Genomic DNA, 16,364 nt, shown 5'->3' with positions numbered 1-16,364 from the left:
TGGAAATCAGCAGACAGTGAAATGTCTACTATATGGAATGAAAACTACCTGTCAATCTAGAATTTTATGCCCAGTGAAAATATATTTAAAGAATGATGGTAAAATAAGGATATTTTCAGATAAAAACAACTTGTCACGAACATCTCACCTATGAAAGATCATTTAAAGCAGCAGTGTTCAATGGAAGTTTCTGTGGAATTGGGAATGTTATTTATTTTTTTCTTGAGACAGGTCTCACTCTGTCACCCAGGCTGGAGTGTGGTGCAATCATGGCTCACTGAGCTAAAAATAATATATTTATGGATGAAGTAATGTGATAATATAATGATAATGTGATCACTCAGGCAATCCTCCCACCTCAGCCTCCTGAGTACCTGGGACCACAGATGCACACAACCTCGACCTGTCTAATTTTTAAAATTATTTGTAGAGACGAGGTCTCGCTGTGTTGCTCAGGCTCAAACTCCTGTGCTCAAGTGATTCTCCCACCTCAGTCCTACAGACTGCTGGGATTGTAGGTGTGAGCCACCATGTTTGGCCTGGAAATGTTCTTTTTCTGTGCTGTCCAATATTGTAGTCATAAGCTACATAGGGCTATTGAGTACTTGAAAATTCAATAAACTGAATTTTTAAGTTTATTGGCTTAATAAGTTATTAAGTTATTAATAAGTTATTAAGCCAATAAACTTAATTTTTATTAAATATCCACATGCACCATATTGGACAGTATGTTTTTAAAGGATATACTTAGGACAGGATGAAATTGATCTCAAATCACAAAATGAAATGTATGAAGAGTAAATTAAAGGTAAAGAAAATGATACATATTTAGAGAATGAAAATGAATATGGATTGCATTAAACATAGTAAAAATGTCTAATGGATTAAAAACAAGGGTATAACAAGTAGGATAGGTAGAGTCTAGGATTTAAGGTCCTTGTCTTACCTAGAAGGATAGTAATTTAAAAAAAACCTCTTATGGAAAATTTTAAATATGTAAAAGAGAAGAGTATAATGAATCCTTATGTATTTATTACCCACCTTCAACAGTTATGAATTCATGACTAAAGTGTTTTTATATATATCCCAAGTATTTTAAAGTAAGTCCTAACAATCACATTATTTAACCCATAAATATATTGTTCTTATAAAAGATATGGGCTTAAAGTATAATACCAGTATCATATACAGAAAAAAATCAATAATTTCTTAGCATTATGTAGTTAGTATTCACATTTTCCCAATTATCTAAAAAAAGATTTAAAAAATTATATTTGGTTTCTTCAAACTGGAATCCAAACAGGGTCTACATATTGCATTTTGTTGATGTGTTGCTTATGTCTTTTAAAATCTATAGATTTTTTGGGAAAAGAGAGAATAAAGATTTTGATTAGACTTTACTGCATGGTATAATTTCTAGAAAACCAACAAAAGAACAGAAACAGAGGGTATAACTTCCAAATCAGTAGAGGAAATAAATAGAATGCTAAAAAGAATTGAGGGGAAAGAAGGCAGCAACAACAAAGGAGAGAAAAGAAACTGGACAGGGGGCTGGGCACGGTGGCTCATACCTATAATCTCAGCACTTTGGGAGGCCGAGGCAGGTGGATTGCTTGAGGTCAGGAGTTCGAGACCAGCATGATCAACATGGTGAAACCCCGTCTCTACTAAAAATACAAAAATCAGCAGAGTGTGATGGTGCATGCCTGTAATCCCAGCTACTTGGGAGACTGAGACGGGAGAATCGCTTGAACCCAGGAGGTGGAGGTTGCAGTGAGCAGAGATCATGCAACTGCACTCCAGCCTGGGCGACAGAGCGAGACTCTATTTCAAAAAAAACAAAAAACAAAAAACAAAAAAAAAAACTGAACGGGACAAATGGAAAGCATAAAATATGATGTTAGATTTAACTTAAATATATAGCAATTAAAGGTAAATTGTCTAATAACCACACAGGTATCATCCAGGCCTGAGGTGCCAGCAGCTCTTGCCTGGAATAATTTTCTAACTAGTACGCTTGTTTCAGTTCTTGCTTTCCACTATGTATTAACCAAATGATAACAGGAGTAGCCTCTTAACAATGTAAATCACATCACAACACTCTCCTGTTTAAAACTTTCTGACAACTTGCTAGTAATCTCAATAAAATTCACTCTTTCTAGTGCCTATAAGGTTCTATGTGATCCAGCCCATTTGTATTTCTATGATTGCATTTCCTGTTATACTTCTTCACTGTAGCTCAGGGCGCTTAACATATGCTGTTCCATTTCCCTGGATCACCAGGGTCAGCCAGAATTCTTAGTTCTAAGTAGTCAAATAATCTCTGGTTAATTTAACAGAAAAGGAATTTATCACAGGAGGAAGCTGCTACCACTACTGTTATTGGAATCTGCTGCCACGTTTGCCACTAAGGGTTCTACACACTCTCGGCTTTTTAAATGCACTATCTTCTACATTAAGGTCCAGCACAGATGCTTCTCTTGTGGAGTGGAGGTCATATGACTGTACCCTTGCCTTATGGGAAGCAAGGAAAGCAAATATTCAGTAGTAGGCAGAGGTTTCTGCCTTCTTTCAAGATGCATATGGAAGGGAATTCCCCAAGGACAAGAAGGTGTTTTGATGCTAAGCAACCAAGAGAATGACTTGTGCATCATGATGCTTCCTTTGGATCCTCCCTAGGTTTGCTTTCCCTTTCATTCCTGTTTCTACTCAGTTGTCACCTCCTCAGAGAGGCCTTTTGTAATCACTTTCTCCAAAATGGCAATTCCCTATCCCTAATCTAGTACTCTGTTTCTTACTCTGCCTTACTTTTTCTTCATACCGTTTATCACTGCCACAACCACCACTACTACTACTACTTATTTACTTCTTTATTGTGAAGTTCTTATCCCAGAACATAAGCTCTTTGCTCTTCATTTACTCAGTAAACATTTGTTTGTTGAATGAAGAGAAACATAGAGATTATGCTATATATTGCTGAGGAAATTTAAGAGCTCATCTTAGAAAGTTTTGTTGGAGAAAAGATCTTTTAAAAATGGGCTTTGATTGAAGTATAGCATTTGGAGAGAAAGGATGTAACCATTCTAAACTGGGAAAATAGCATGAGGGGAGACATTGGGTCTGGAATAAGGTAAGTGTGTATGGGATGAGGAAGGAGAATTGGGTCTGGAATAAGGTAAGTGTGTATGAGATGAGGAAGGAGAATTGTTTAAAATCGGATGACTGTCAGGGCCCTATATTCAGAGAAAAATGGATGAAGTAAATGTGTGAGGCAGTTGATAGAGGGACTCAAATTGCAAGGTGAGATCTTGTGATTGCTAGAGTAAGAGATAACTAGTTTTTTTTTAATTAAAAGTATACAATGGTATTTTCACATAGCCGAGTACTATGCAGCTGTAAAACAGAATGAGAAAAATCTCTATGCAGTATTTTCCAGGATATATATTAAATGGGAAAAAAAGCAAAGTACAGAACAATGTGTGTTTAGTATGTTCCTTTGGTGTGAGAAGTAGGGAATGGTGGCTGGGCATGGTGACTCATGCCTGTAATCCCTGCACTTTGGGAGGCTGAGGTGGGAGGATTGCTTGAGCCCCGGAGTTTGAGACCAGCCTGGGCAACATGTCAAAACCTCGTCTCTCCAAAAATTAGAATTAGTCAGGTGTGGTGATGCGTGCCTGTAGTCCCAGCTACTTCGGAGGCTGAGGTGGGAGGATCACCTGAATCTGAGAGGTCGAGGCTGCAGTGAGCCATGATCACGCCACTGCATTCCAGCCTGGGTGACAGAATGAGACCCTGCCTTCAGGGAAAAAAAAAAAAAGTAAGAGTGGAAGGGTGGAGAATAAGAATATGAATATATGCAAATTTGTTTATGTTGCAAAGAGAAACACTTAAAAGACAAATTAGAAACTAATAAAATTGTTACCCTATGGTAGAAGGTATGGGAAATACATGAAGTAGGGATGGAAATGTGATTTCTGAGTGTGTCTTTTTATTATTTAGCTCTGACTTTTGAATTATGTAAATACACATTCAAAAATTATAGTAAATTTTTTTAAATCCTTAAAATTGAAGACAAACTTGAACAATGGTATCCATGTTTATATCAAAATAGTTATTTAAATACATGGAGAAAAACTATTTCAGGTGACTTTGGAGCTTAATACTAAATGGCATATACGCTAAGGATAAAAGAACTGCAAAAAAACCCCCACCTTTATTCATTTTATTGCTAGTTGTAATATTGGTATTTTAATTTTGACACCATATGATATGTATTGTAGGATAAAGGCAGTAAGTCTTTATGTGAATGATTACGAATCAATAGAGATACAAGTATAAAATCAAAGAAGCTAAGCACAAAACCTATAATTTTGAACCTGAATTATAAATGTCAATATGAATTCATCATTTATAATATACATTTCTTAATTCAATCCATATAAATTTGTTCCTTAGCTCTGTCCACTGAGAGGACCTAGAAACACTTTGTCATCTTGGTAGATGTGAGCTCTTCTAAAACCCTAATTTTGGTCTTTAAATACTTGTACTTGAAAGAATCCAGGACTCCTTGAAGAAATGACTGATTCTGGGTCTGGAGCAGGGGACATGCGTAACCTGGAACATTCTTGTGCCAAAACCAAGAAAGCTTTCAAAGATGGAAAAGCCAAATCGAAAAGGCTCTCCTTGGCCAAAATTGGGACAATTTGAACATCAGAAGAAATAAGGAGAATAATTTCTTGAGAAAATGATTATATAACAATAAATAGAACAAATGGAGGTGGCTAGGTGGCTATTATTCTTTACTCTGAAAATTGGTAATGAAAAACGATAATATATTTGAACTGCCTTTTGAGTGGGCACCATTTTATATTTAGTGAGGGATGCCAAGTAATGTAGAAGGAAATAAAGAATTTGAAAGTGACAATTTGTTACAACCTGTTATGAATAATTGATTTGGGCCAGGATCATTAATGGGTGCTAAAACTGTCAGACAAAAATGTTTGGGAATTGGATATTCCCATGGAGCCAAAGTATGATGCCACAGATTTCTAGTTGGCCTCAAGCTAAAAGAATATAACTTTACATTGGAAGGATTAGACTATCACTAACCTAGCTATTATTCTTAGTATCATTAAAAGTGATCCAAAAAAGATGTGCTTCCTGATGTGCTTCAATATCAAGCATGTTGCTATTGACATTTTTTGTCTAAAATATTAAATCCGAATTTTAATTAACTTCAGAGACTTAGTTTGTAAGACATATGGAAGATCAAGAAATTACATGCTATCTTGAGGAAGCAATAAAAAAAACTCAGTATGAGGTACAGATGAACCGACCATTCTTTTCAACAAATCAATGTCATGAGGGAGAAAAACGGGAGAGGTAGATGGGAGAAAGGGAAAGTGTCCTAGAATAAACTTGATTTAGAGATAGAGTAACCAAATACAACATGTGTAAGCTGTAAAGTACAATTTTTTTTTTTTTTAGAAAGGAATAGGATGAAGCAAGATGACCAGCTTTTAATTTAGAATGTCAATGATGGGTATATAGGTATGTGTATAATCAAACACACAAACACACATATACAGTATATATTATATATATGCATGTATATTTTCTATATTTGAAAATTTGTATAATGAAAATTTAATTTTTTCGTTTATAGACACTTAGGTTATTTGGAATTTCTTTTTTTTTTCCTGTTACAATAATGTTTTTATAAACATATTTCTTTCCTTGTTTATGTGTTTAAGAGTATACCAAGATAGGGTAGCTAGCAGTGGAATCCCTAGGTCAAAGAGTAGGCGCATCTTTTTTTTTTCTTTTGAGATGGAGTCTCGCTCTGTTGCCAGACTGGAGTATAATGCCACGATCTCGGCTCACTGCAACCTCCACCTCCCGGGTTCAAGCGATTCTCCTGCCTCAGCCTCCCAAGTAGCTGGGATTACAGGCATGCACCACCACGCCCAGCTAATTTTGTATTTTTAGTAGAGATGGGGTTTCTCCATGTTGGTCAGGCTAGTCTCAAACTCCTGACCTCAATCTGCCCACCTAGGCCTCCCAAAGTGCTGGGATTACAGGCATGAGCCACCACGCCCGGTCATCCCATCTTAAACTCTACTAGAAGTTGATAAATTGTTCTTCAGAATGATTGTATTGGTGGGGATTTTGGACAAGGGAATCATGAGACGTATGTCTTCCCTACCAGATGGTGAATTCTTTAAGGGCAGGTACTATGTAGAGGTTCAAATATAGAAATGTTTGATTGAATACAATTGTATTTTAGGGGGATTGCCTGGCAGCAGGATGGAGAAACTAGAGTTAAATCAGCTGAGAGACCATTGTGATGTGTAAGGTATGAGGCAATGAGTGTGTAAGACCAGAGGTAGTAGAGAGGAGGGGATGTGTATGAGAACTTCTGAGAAGAAAGGATCAGAATGTATGCATTCTTTTTTTGAGCAGAATATTGATGGTTCATTTTTGTGACTTACAAGAACCAGCAGTTTATTGGCTTCATTTTGTAGGAAGCAGGTAAGTTATACTTCCCTGATTAAATCAAAGGCATCTACTGGCTAATTCCAGTAGAGTTCTAAAAAGCCTTTTCTTTATCTTCTACTTGCACTCTTTTCAAGCCTCCATTTTTTTCCTGGGATACATTCATGTGATTTAAAAACAACTGGTAGTTGAATTGGGCAAAGGCATAGTCAGTGGCAAAGATGAGGAGGATTTAGTAAAATCCATGGGCCCCCTTCATTGTCAAATGAATTTGTGAAATCTTACAAGGATAAAGGCTGTCTCCTCGTATGGTTTTTAGAAGGAAAGCGTATTCAGCACCATAACAGGGGCAATTCATCATGTGCAGTTTTTCTTTCTTTCTTTTTTTTTTTTAAAGACGGGGGTCTTGCTCTTTTGCCTAGGCTGGCGTGTAGGAGTGTGATCATGGCTCAGTGCAGCCTTGACCTCCCAGGCTCAAGCAGTCCTCCCACCTCAGCGTCCTGAGTAGCTGGACCACAGGAGCATGCCACCAACCCTGGCTAATTTTTGTTTTTCATTTTTTTTTTTGAGACGGAGTCTCACTCTGTTGCCCAGGCTGGAGTGCAATGGCGCCGTCTCAGCTCACTGCAACCTCTGCCTTCCGGGTTCTAGCGATTCTCCTGCCTCAGCCTCCCCAGCAGCTGGGACTATAGGCGCATGCCACCATGCCCAGCTAATTGTTTTTTTATTGTTTAGTAGAGACGGGGTTTCACCATGTTGGCCAGGCTGGTCTCAAACTCCTGACCTCAGGTGATCCACCCACCTCAGCCTCCCAAAGTGCTGGGATTACAGGCGTGAGCCACCATACCTGGCTCTTGGCTAATTTTTAAAAATTTTTGGAGAGATTAGGGTTTCACCATGTTGTTCAGTCTGGTCTCAAACTCCTGGGCTTGAACGATCTTCCCACCTTGGCTTTCCAAAATGCTGGGATTATGGGCATGAACCACCATGTCTGGCCTAGATGAAGTTTTTCTAAAAGAATCCACTTGGCTAGGCATGGTGGCTCATGCCTTTTGGCACTTTGGGAGGCCGAGGTGGGTGGATCACCTGATGTCAGGGGTTCGAGACTAGCCTGGCCAACATGGTGAAACGCTGCCTCTACTAAAAATACAAAATTAGCTGGGCGTGGTGGTGGGCGCCTATATTCCCAGCTACTTGAGAGGCTGAGGCAGGAGAATCGCTTGAACCTGGGAGGCAGAGGTTGCAGTGAGCTGAGATCGTGCCATTGCACTCCAGCCTGGGCGACAGAGCCAGACTCTGTCTTAAAAAAAAAAAAACAAAAAAAACCCTTATATCTTATTTTAAAATGTTATGACTTCTTGCATATTCTGAAGTTAGTGGCTTCAAGAAGTTTGACCAGGCCGGGCGCAGTGGCTCACGCCTGTAATCCCAGCACTTTGGGAGGCCGAGGCAGGCAGATCACGAGGTTAGGAGATCGAGACCATCCTGGCTAACAGGGTGATACCCCATCTCTACTAAAAATACAAAAAATTAGCTGGGCGTGCTGGTGTGCACCTGTAATCCCAGCTACTCAGGAGGCTGAGGCAGGAGAATGGTGTGAACCCCGGAGGCGGAGCTTGCAGTGAGCCAAGATCGTGCCACTGCACTCCAGCTTGGGCGACAGAGCGAGACTCCATCTCAAGAAAAAAAAACAAAAAAAAAAGTTTGACCAGTGATTCTAGAACAGCTCTCTCCAGTAGAAATATAGTGAACCACAGATGATGATGATTTTTTTTTTTTGTCATTGATTGCTCCATTCTACATCAGCAGAAACAGAACCAGACAGGGAGTGACGAGATTTGCACCTGGGTCACACAGCTGATCTGTGGCAGAGGTGGGGTCTCAACTTCTGGCTTTTAGCCGTGCCTTTTTTTTTTTTTTTTTTGGCATAACATCATATTGCCTTAGTGCCCTCAAAATATTATTTGTCCAGTTTGTAGTTACTGACTATTGGAGGCCAAGTCTTGATCTAGGCCCACTTACCATGGGGTACACTTGTCCCTCTTCCTCATGGAAACAATTTCATCCTGACACTCTCAAAGCACATTTCATCCTGTACTGACTTCACCTTTTTTAAATCACAAAATTTACTTAGAAAGGACCTGACATTTAGAGTCAGAAAGGAACACACATTACTGAACACCTTCCTTGGGCATGGTATTTTCAGGGAGCTATGCATGTCTGGTGGGGCCAGCCCTCTAAAAAGTGGAGACAAGAAACAACCTACTCATAATCCCACAGTCTCCCCAAGGAGCCAGAGATTCTTGGGTCTAGCTAACCTCCTTTATTTTCTTAACAGCAAGTACTATAACCTTAACTTGTGCCCATAGAAAGAACTACAGAGGCCAGGCGGGGTGGCTCACACCTGTAATCCTAGCACTTTGGGAGGCCAAGGCGGGCGAATTGCCTGAGGTCAGGAGTTTGAGACCAGTCTAGCCAACATGGTGAAACCCCATCTCTACTAAAAATACAAAAAAATTAGCTGGGCGTGGTGGCATGCGCCTGTAATCCGAGCTACTTGGGAGGCTGAGGCAGGGGAATTGCTTGAACTCGGGAGGCGGAGGTTGCAGTGAGCCGAGATTGCCCCACTGCACTCCAGCCTGGGCGACAGAGTGAGACTCTGTCTCAAAAAAAAAAAAAAAAAAAAAAGCCACGGAGACATTGGGAGCATTCAGGGCATTGGATCACTGGAGGGGCTTCAAAGCCAGGGGAGCCCACCTTTGAGGCTGAATTTCTCACCTACTAGCTTTGGGACCTTGGTCAGGTGACTTTTCCAAACCTTGGTTTTCCCATCTGTAAAGTGAGTATAGGCAGTACAGCCCCTCTCTAGGACTGTGTGTAGGGAGATGGTGCTTGGTCACACAGCACTCAACGAATGCAGGTCGTTAACAGTGGGAGACAATAGTAACTCAGATTTATTGAGCACTTACTGTTGGCCTGGCGCTTGCCATCAATGAACTCATTAAAAAAAATTTTTTTTTTTTTTGAGATGAGGTCTTATTCTGTAGTCTAGACTGGAATGCAGTGGTGCAATCACAGCTCACTGCAGCCTTGACCTCGCTGGGCTCAGGTGATCCTCCCATCTCAGCCTTCTGAGTAGCTGGGACCACAGGTGTGTGCCACCCGCCCAGCTAATTTTTATGTATTTTTTGTAGAGATAGAGTTTTGCCATGTTGCCTAGGCAGGTCTCCAACTCCAGGGTTCGAGCAATCCACCCATCTTGGCTTCCCAAAGTGCTAGGATTACAGGCATGAGCACCACACCCAGCCATTTTTTTAAATTTAAATTTTATTTATTTATTTATGAATTAATTAATTAATGACAGGATCTGACTCTGTTGCCCAGGCTGGAGTGCAGTGGCACAGTCATGGCTCACTGAAGCCTCAAACTTCTGGGCTTAAGCGATCCTCCCGCCCCAGCCTCCTGAGTAGCTGTAGCTGGGACTACAGGAAGACAGGACCACATACAGCTAATTTTTTATTTTATTTTAGGGAAAGGTGCTATCTCTCTGTGTGTTGCCCAGGCTGGTCTTGAGCTTCTGGGCTCAAGGGATGCTCCTGCCTCAGCCTCCCCAAATACTGGAAGCAACTGTGCCTGGCTAATTGCCTCTAATCCTCAGAACAACCCTGTGAGAGAGGTTGTGCTATTACTCTCATTTTACAGGTGTGTAAACTGAGGCGTAGAAAGGCTGAGTGACCTCTCCCTGCCTCACTCTGGGTCCTCAGCCACTTCTTGCCTCTGCACGTGTTTTTTTTCTTTCCCTTAGGCAGGGATAAATAAAGGGCATGTATGTTGTCTTCTGGGGCCTGTAGTGAGAGTAGTGCATTCTATTAATTATGATTGGTTTTGTTGTCATGGCTCCTAAAAATGATGGGCTAGCAGGAACTACTGCAGTACCAAGGTTTCCCATTTCCCCCATGGGCCTGATCCTAGGGTAGCAGCTTCCCATTCCTCTGCAGTGGTGCCTGCAGCCACAGATTTAATTTAAAAATTTCTAGTAGCCGCTGTGCAGTACAGTCTCAAACTCCTAGGTTCAAGTGACCTCCCTGCCTTAGCCTCCCAAGTAGCTGGTACTGCAGGTGCACACCACTGTGCCCAGCAAAATTAATTTTCGTAATAGAGTTTAATCCCTTACATCCAAAATATTATGATTATTTTTGGAGACAGGGTCTCACTCCTGTTGCCCAGACAGGAGTGCAGTGGTGCGATCATGGCTCACTGTAGCCTTGACTTCCTAGGCTCAGGTTATTCTGTCATCTTAGCCTCCGAAGTAGTTGGGACTACAGGCATGTGCCACCATGCTTGGTTGATTTTTTTGTATTTTTTGTAGAGACCAGGTTTTGCCATGTTGCCCAGGGTGGTCTTGAACTCCTGGTCTCAAGCAATCCACCCGCCTCAGCCTCCCAAAGTGTTGGAATTACAGGCATGAGCCACCGTGCCTGGCCCTTCCAAAATATTGTTTCAACAGGTAATCAGTATAAAAGTTATTAATGAAATATTTTACATTCCTTCTTGATAGCAAGTCTTCAAAATCTGGTATGTTATATTTATAGCACATCTCAATTTGGACTAGCCACATTTCAATGCCCAGTATCCTTGTATAACTAGTGGTTACTGTACTGGACACATCAGTTCTTTTTTTTTGAGATGGAGTCTTGCTCTGTCACCCAAGCTGGAGTGCAGTGGCGCAATCTTGGGTCACTGCAACCTCCATCTCCTTGATTCAAGTGATTCTCCTGCCTTAGCCTCCTGAGTAGCTGGGACTACAGGCATGCACCACCATGCCCGGCTAATTTTTTTTTTTTTGTATTTTTCACCATGTTGGCCAGGGTGGTCTTAAACTCCTGACCTCAAGTTATCCTCTGGCATTGGCTTCCCAAAGGGCTGGGATTACAGGTATGAGTCACTGTGCCCAGCCTGGACACCTCAGTTTTAGAATATACCCATTTGAAACCTTTGAACTCAGTTTGGTGTACTGATTTGATCTACTGTCATTGAGGGTGGTCCTGAGCTGATTTTGCTTTGTAATATTATTGCTAGTTATTAGACAAGTTCTGGCTTCCTGCCTAGATTTTTCTATGCTAACTGGGCAGGTCCAAGAGTAATTCTGAGGGTCTCAGACAAAGCCAATATCTACATTTATTATGTTCACAATTTTTTCTTTTGACTAGAAAACCGAATTGACCTCAGATTTTTTTTTTTTTTTTGGTCACATCTGTTAATTTGAGTTGCTGCCAATAAAAAGATAATATCCAGGCAAGTTCCAGCCTTGTTTAGTTATAAGAAATTTTGTTACAACAAGGCTGACTTAGGAATTCAGTAAGCATTCTATTATGATATTTCCTAGGGTTTGTGAAATTTAGATTACATTTAAAAAAGGCAAACATTATGACGATTTTGGTTCCAAGTATTTCTGGAGTTTCTACTGTGTGCCAAATATTGTTCATTCAATGGATTAATATTTATTGAGCTTTTTTTTTTTTTTTCTGAGACGGAGTCTTGCTCTATTGCCCAGGCTGGAGTGCAATGGCGGAATCTCGGCTCGCTGCAACCTCTGCCTCCTGAGTTCAAGTGATTCTCCTGCCTCAGCCTCCTGAGTAGCTGGGACTACAGGTGCCAGCCACCATGCCTGGCTAACAGAATGCCCTTTTAATGCAGACTTTAAAAGCGATAAAAGGGTTGCCGCATCTTTTACTTCTTAAGTCTTTCTCTCCTTATGTGGTGGGATGTCCTCAGGTTATGGTTACTGAAAGAAAGTTATCCTAGAAGGAAGTTTTTCATCAGCTTTGTGAGTATGATTTCACTGGAAGTGGTCTTGACTTTTGGAAGATCTAGCTCTGAGATCAAGGTTCTCTCTGTGGGGAGTGGAGACCTTATGGAGAAGCAGTTATTCTTGTACACTGATAGTGGGAGTATAAGTTGCTACAATCTTTTGGTAGATAATTTGGCAGTGTCTAATTACAACTAAAATGTGATTTTAAACAAGTCTAGCAATCCTGCTTCTCACCATAATTTCTAGAACAATGCTAACTCGTGTGTATTGCAGCACTATTTGTAAAGGTGAAAAATTAAAACAGGATCATATAATTAGTATACTGTGTGTATTTGTTTCCTATTCCTATCGTGTAATAATTTCCTATTTGCTATAACAAATTACTACAACCTTAGTGCCTTAAAACAACATAAATTTATTATTTTATAGTTCTGGAAGTCCGAAGACCTAAAATTAGGATTTCGGCAGGACTGTTCCTTCTGGAAGCTTTAGGAGATAATCTGTTTTCTTTCCTTTTCTAGCTTCTAAAGAAGGCATGCATTTCTTGACCTGTGACCCCTTCCTCCATCTTTAAGGCCAACAGCATAGTATCTTCAAATCTCTCTCATTCTCTCTCTGATCTCTGCTTCCTTCTCCCTGACTGTGACCTTCTGCTCCCAATGTCACATCTCCTATTCTGATCCTCCTGTCTCCCTCTTATAAGAAGTCTTGTGATTACATCATACTTGGATAATCCAGGATAACCACCCTAGTCAGGATCCTTAATTTAATCATTTCTGCAGAGTTCCTTTTGCCATGTAAGGTAGCATATTCACAGGATCTGAGAATTAGTATCTAGACATCTTTGGGGGAGCATTATTCAGCCTGTCACACTCCATAGTACTGTGCAGCCACTAAAAAGACTGTGTGTACAGAGACAGGAAGATTTCACTGAAAAAACAAGAGGATTGCCTTTGAGTGGTGGCTCACGCCTGTAATCCCAGCACTTTGGGAGGCCAAGGCAGGTGGATCACCTGAGGTCAGGAGTTTGAGACCAGCCTGACCAAAATGCCGAAACCCCATCTCTACTAAAAATGCAAAAATTAGCCGGGCCTGGTGGTGCATGCCTGTAATCCCAGCTACTTGGGAGGCTGAGGCAGAAGAATTGCTTGAACCAGGGAGGCGGAGGTTGCAGTGAGCCAAGATTGTGCTATTGCACTCTAGCCTGGGCAACAAGAGCGAAACTCCATCTCAAAAAAGTAAAATGAAAAAAAGAGGATTGCTTGTGAATGGGGAAAAAGGCAAGTTGCCAAACAATTTAGTATGATCCCCTTTTTGTGTGTTTTTTAATTTTAATTTTTTATTTTTGCCCACCCGCCTGACCCCTTTGTGTGTTTTTGTTTAAAAAGAAGTAAGCATTGTGTGTATGTGTTTCTAATATGCATAGAAAAGATCTGGAAGGATGCACACTAAACATTTAGATAGTGGTTACTTCTGAGAACACAAGGATGTGTTGAGATGACTTTAAACTGTATAATTCTTATGTACAGTAAACATGTGTTTGTTTATTGTGATTTTATTTATTTATTTATTTATTTTTGAGACGGAGTCTCACTCTGTCGCCTGGGCTGGAGTGCAGTGGTGTGATCTCGGCTCACTGCAACCTCTGCCTCCTGGGTTCAAAACGATTCTCCTGCCTCAGCTTCCCGAGTAGCTGGGATTACAGGCGCCTGCCACTATGCCTAGATAATTTTTTGTATTTTTAGTAGAGACGGGGTTTCATCATGTTGGCCAGGCTGGTCTCGAACTCCTGACCTCGTGATTTGCCCGCCTCAGCCTCCCAAAGTGCTGGGATTATAGGCATGAGCCACTGTGCCCAGCCCTGTAATTTTTATGAAAGTATACATGCACAGTTCTGACTTATACGTGGGAGCTAAACAGTGGTTATACATGGACATACGGAGGGGGATAATAGACACTAGGGAGTCCAAAAGCGGGGAGGGTGGCAGAGGGGCAAGGGTTGAAAAATTCCCTGTTGGGTACAGTGTTCACTATTCAGGTGATGGACACATTGAAAGCCCAGACTTCACCACGATGCAATATATACGTGTAACAAACTGCACCTGTACCTGCTGAATCTATAAAAATAAAAACTTTTTTTAAGGAAGAAAAAATTATATGTGCACATAGTTGAAAAAGTAAAAAAATAAGCCTTCTTATGAAAATCCTACACTCAGTTGTGTTATTTCTTCCCACCCCAGAACCCTCTTTCCCAGAGGTCTCCATTTTATGATTAGCTCTTCATATTTCTAAATAACAAATGTGTGCTATTTCTTGATTTTTTTCCACATTAGATACCTTTTGACTTTCTACTTAGGAAGATGAGGCTTCAGCTGTTTTAAGCTATTCCTATGCATATTTTCCCTCACCATTTATCTTTTCAATAGGATTACACTGAAAATTTTGCTTTACATTACACCCCAGGAACTATTATTCTTAGCTAATCCACGCCTATACCACAAAGGAAATGCGTGTGCATATCTCTGTGTGTGTGTGTGTAAAGGAAAAACTGTACAAGAGACATGTATACCTTTATGGTATAGTTTTTTTCTCCCTTCTGAAAAATAGTCTAGTTTTTTCTTTTCTTAGTTTTCTTGTATCCGTCATTAACGCATCCCAAACTCTCCACTGACATTCATTCTCTTCTTAGGAGACTTACCAGCCTGTCTTTTCCTTGGAGACCTCCTTCCTGGAACTCTGTTCTCTGGCTCCCATCTGGGTTTGCCTTCTAGGTCTGTGTCACAGCTGTTGTCTTGGGGTCTCCCTTCACCATCATTTTGGGTACTCTCTCCTATTCTATGTTGGATCTTTATTTCCTGAAGCCCTTGATTATTCTTTCTAGTTTACTTTTGGTTTTGGTGGAACACGTCATCTAGTGGTTTTCTGAAAAAGGGGTATATGGGAGATACATATATGGATATAATATTTGAAAATATCATTTATTTTAAAAATAAAGGGGAAAAAAACTCCATTAGGTAAAATGGGCATGGAGGAAAAAATCCAAATATACCAGAGTTCATGTGATGATTTTTCGTTTCAAAGGAATTACACTGGGAGACACTAAACTTAAATCCTTGGAGGACATGCCCTTTATATCCCAGCAGATTCCTAGTGTTCTTCAACTTAGAACACAGGAAGAATTGAGAATAAGGGTCTGATTTTAAGATCAAAACTAGTGTTCTTTGGTAAATCTTTTTACTTTTTACTTGCTTCCTCTGCAAAGTGGAGACAATAATGATCTTGTTAAGGCCCTTTAGATAAAATGAGACAATGTAGATAAAGAGCAAGATGCTAGGGACTGTTTTTATTATTATTGAAATTGTTTTCTTATGAGACTGTAGGCAACTAAATTTGGAATATTTTCATACACGTACACATGATTATAGTATGCTAAATTTTACTTGGAGTCATATTTTACATACTTTTACTATGAAAAATGCTTTCAATAACTAATTTTTTTTTTTTTTTTGATACGGAGTCTTGCTCTGTCGCCCAGGCTGGAGTGCGGTGGCGCGATCTCGGCTCACTGCAAGCTCCGCCTCCCGGGTTCGCGCCATTCTCCTGCCTCAGCCTCCCGAGTAGCTGGGACTGCAGGCACCCATCACCACGCTCAGCTAATTTTTTGTATTTTCAGTAGAGACGGGGTTTCACCATGTTAGCCAGGATGGTGTCAATCTCCTGACCTCGTGATCCACCCGCCTCGGCCTCCCAAAGTGCTGGGATTACAGGCGTGAGCCACCGCGCCCAGCCTCAATATCTAATGTGGTGCATTAAAGGCTTTATTAAGCTTATCTGTAACCTAATTTTGAAAAAAAGCTTTTAAATAAAAGTTTTAATATTATATTAGTAATATATGCTTGCTATAAAAAAATTAAAACTTAGAAAAAAGTAGAAAAAAGGGAAAATTCATAGTTTTCATTACAATGGTGTATTGTTTCCAAGTGGTTTTTTTTTTTCTTTCTTTTTTTTTTTTGAGACGGAGTTTTGCTCTTGTTGCCCAGGCTGGAGTGCAATGGCA

General features: G+C 40.4%; 1 protein-coding gene across 14 annotated transcripts in view; it reads left to right on the top strand.

Moving 5' to 3' along the window:
* The window catches only part of GABPB1 (GA binding protein transcription factor subunit beta 1), a 79,810-nt gene that overhangs the window by 21,475 nt on the left and 41,971 nt on the right, over positions 1-16,364 (top strand). The window contains exon 1 of one of the 14 annotated variants that reach the window (XM_047432337.1): positions 6,120-6,355. The exons of 11 other annotated variants lie outside the window; for them this stretch is intronic. In XM_047432337.1, the coding sequence (XP_047288293.1) occupies positions 6,347-6,355 (9 nt within the window). In that variant the 5' untranslated portion in view covers positions 6,120-6,346. 2 more of the 14 variants (XM_005254274.5, XM_047432336.1) reach the window with 2 other exon arrangements.

The sequence above is a fragment of the Homo sapiens genome, chromosome 15, assembly GCF_000001405.40.
Source record: "Homo sapiens chromosome 15, GRCh38.p14 Primary Assembly".
In the NCBI taxonomy this organism is placed as follows: domain Eukaryota; kingdom Metazoa; phylum Chordata; class Mammalia; order Primates; family Hominidae; genus Homo; species Homo sapiens.
Note: the sequence above shows the minus strand (reverse complement) of the source record. Positions and strands in the feature narration are given on the sequence as shown.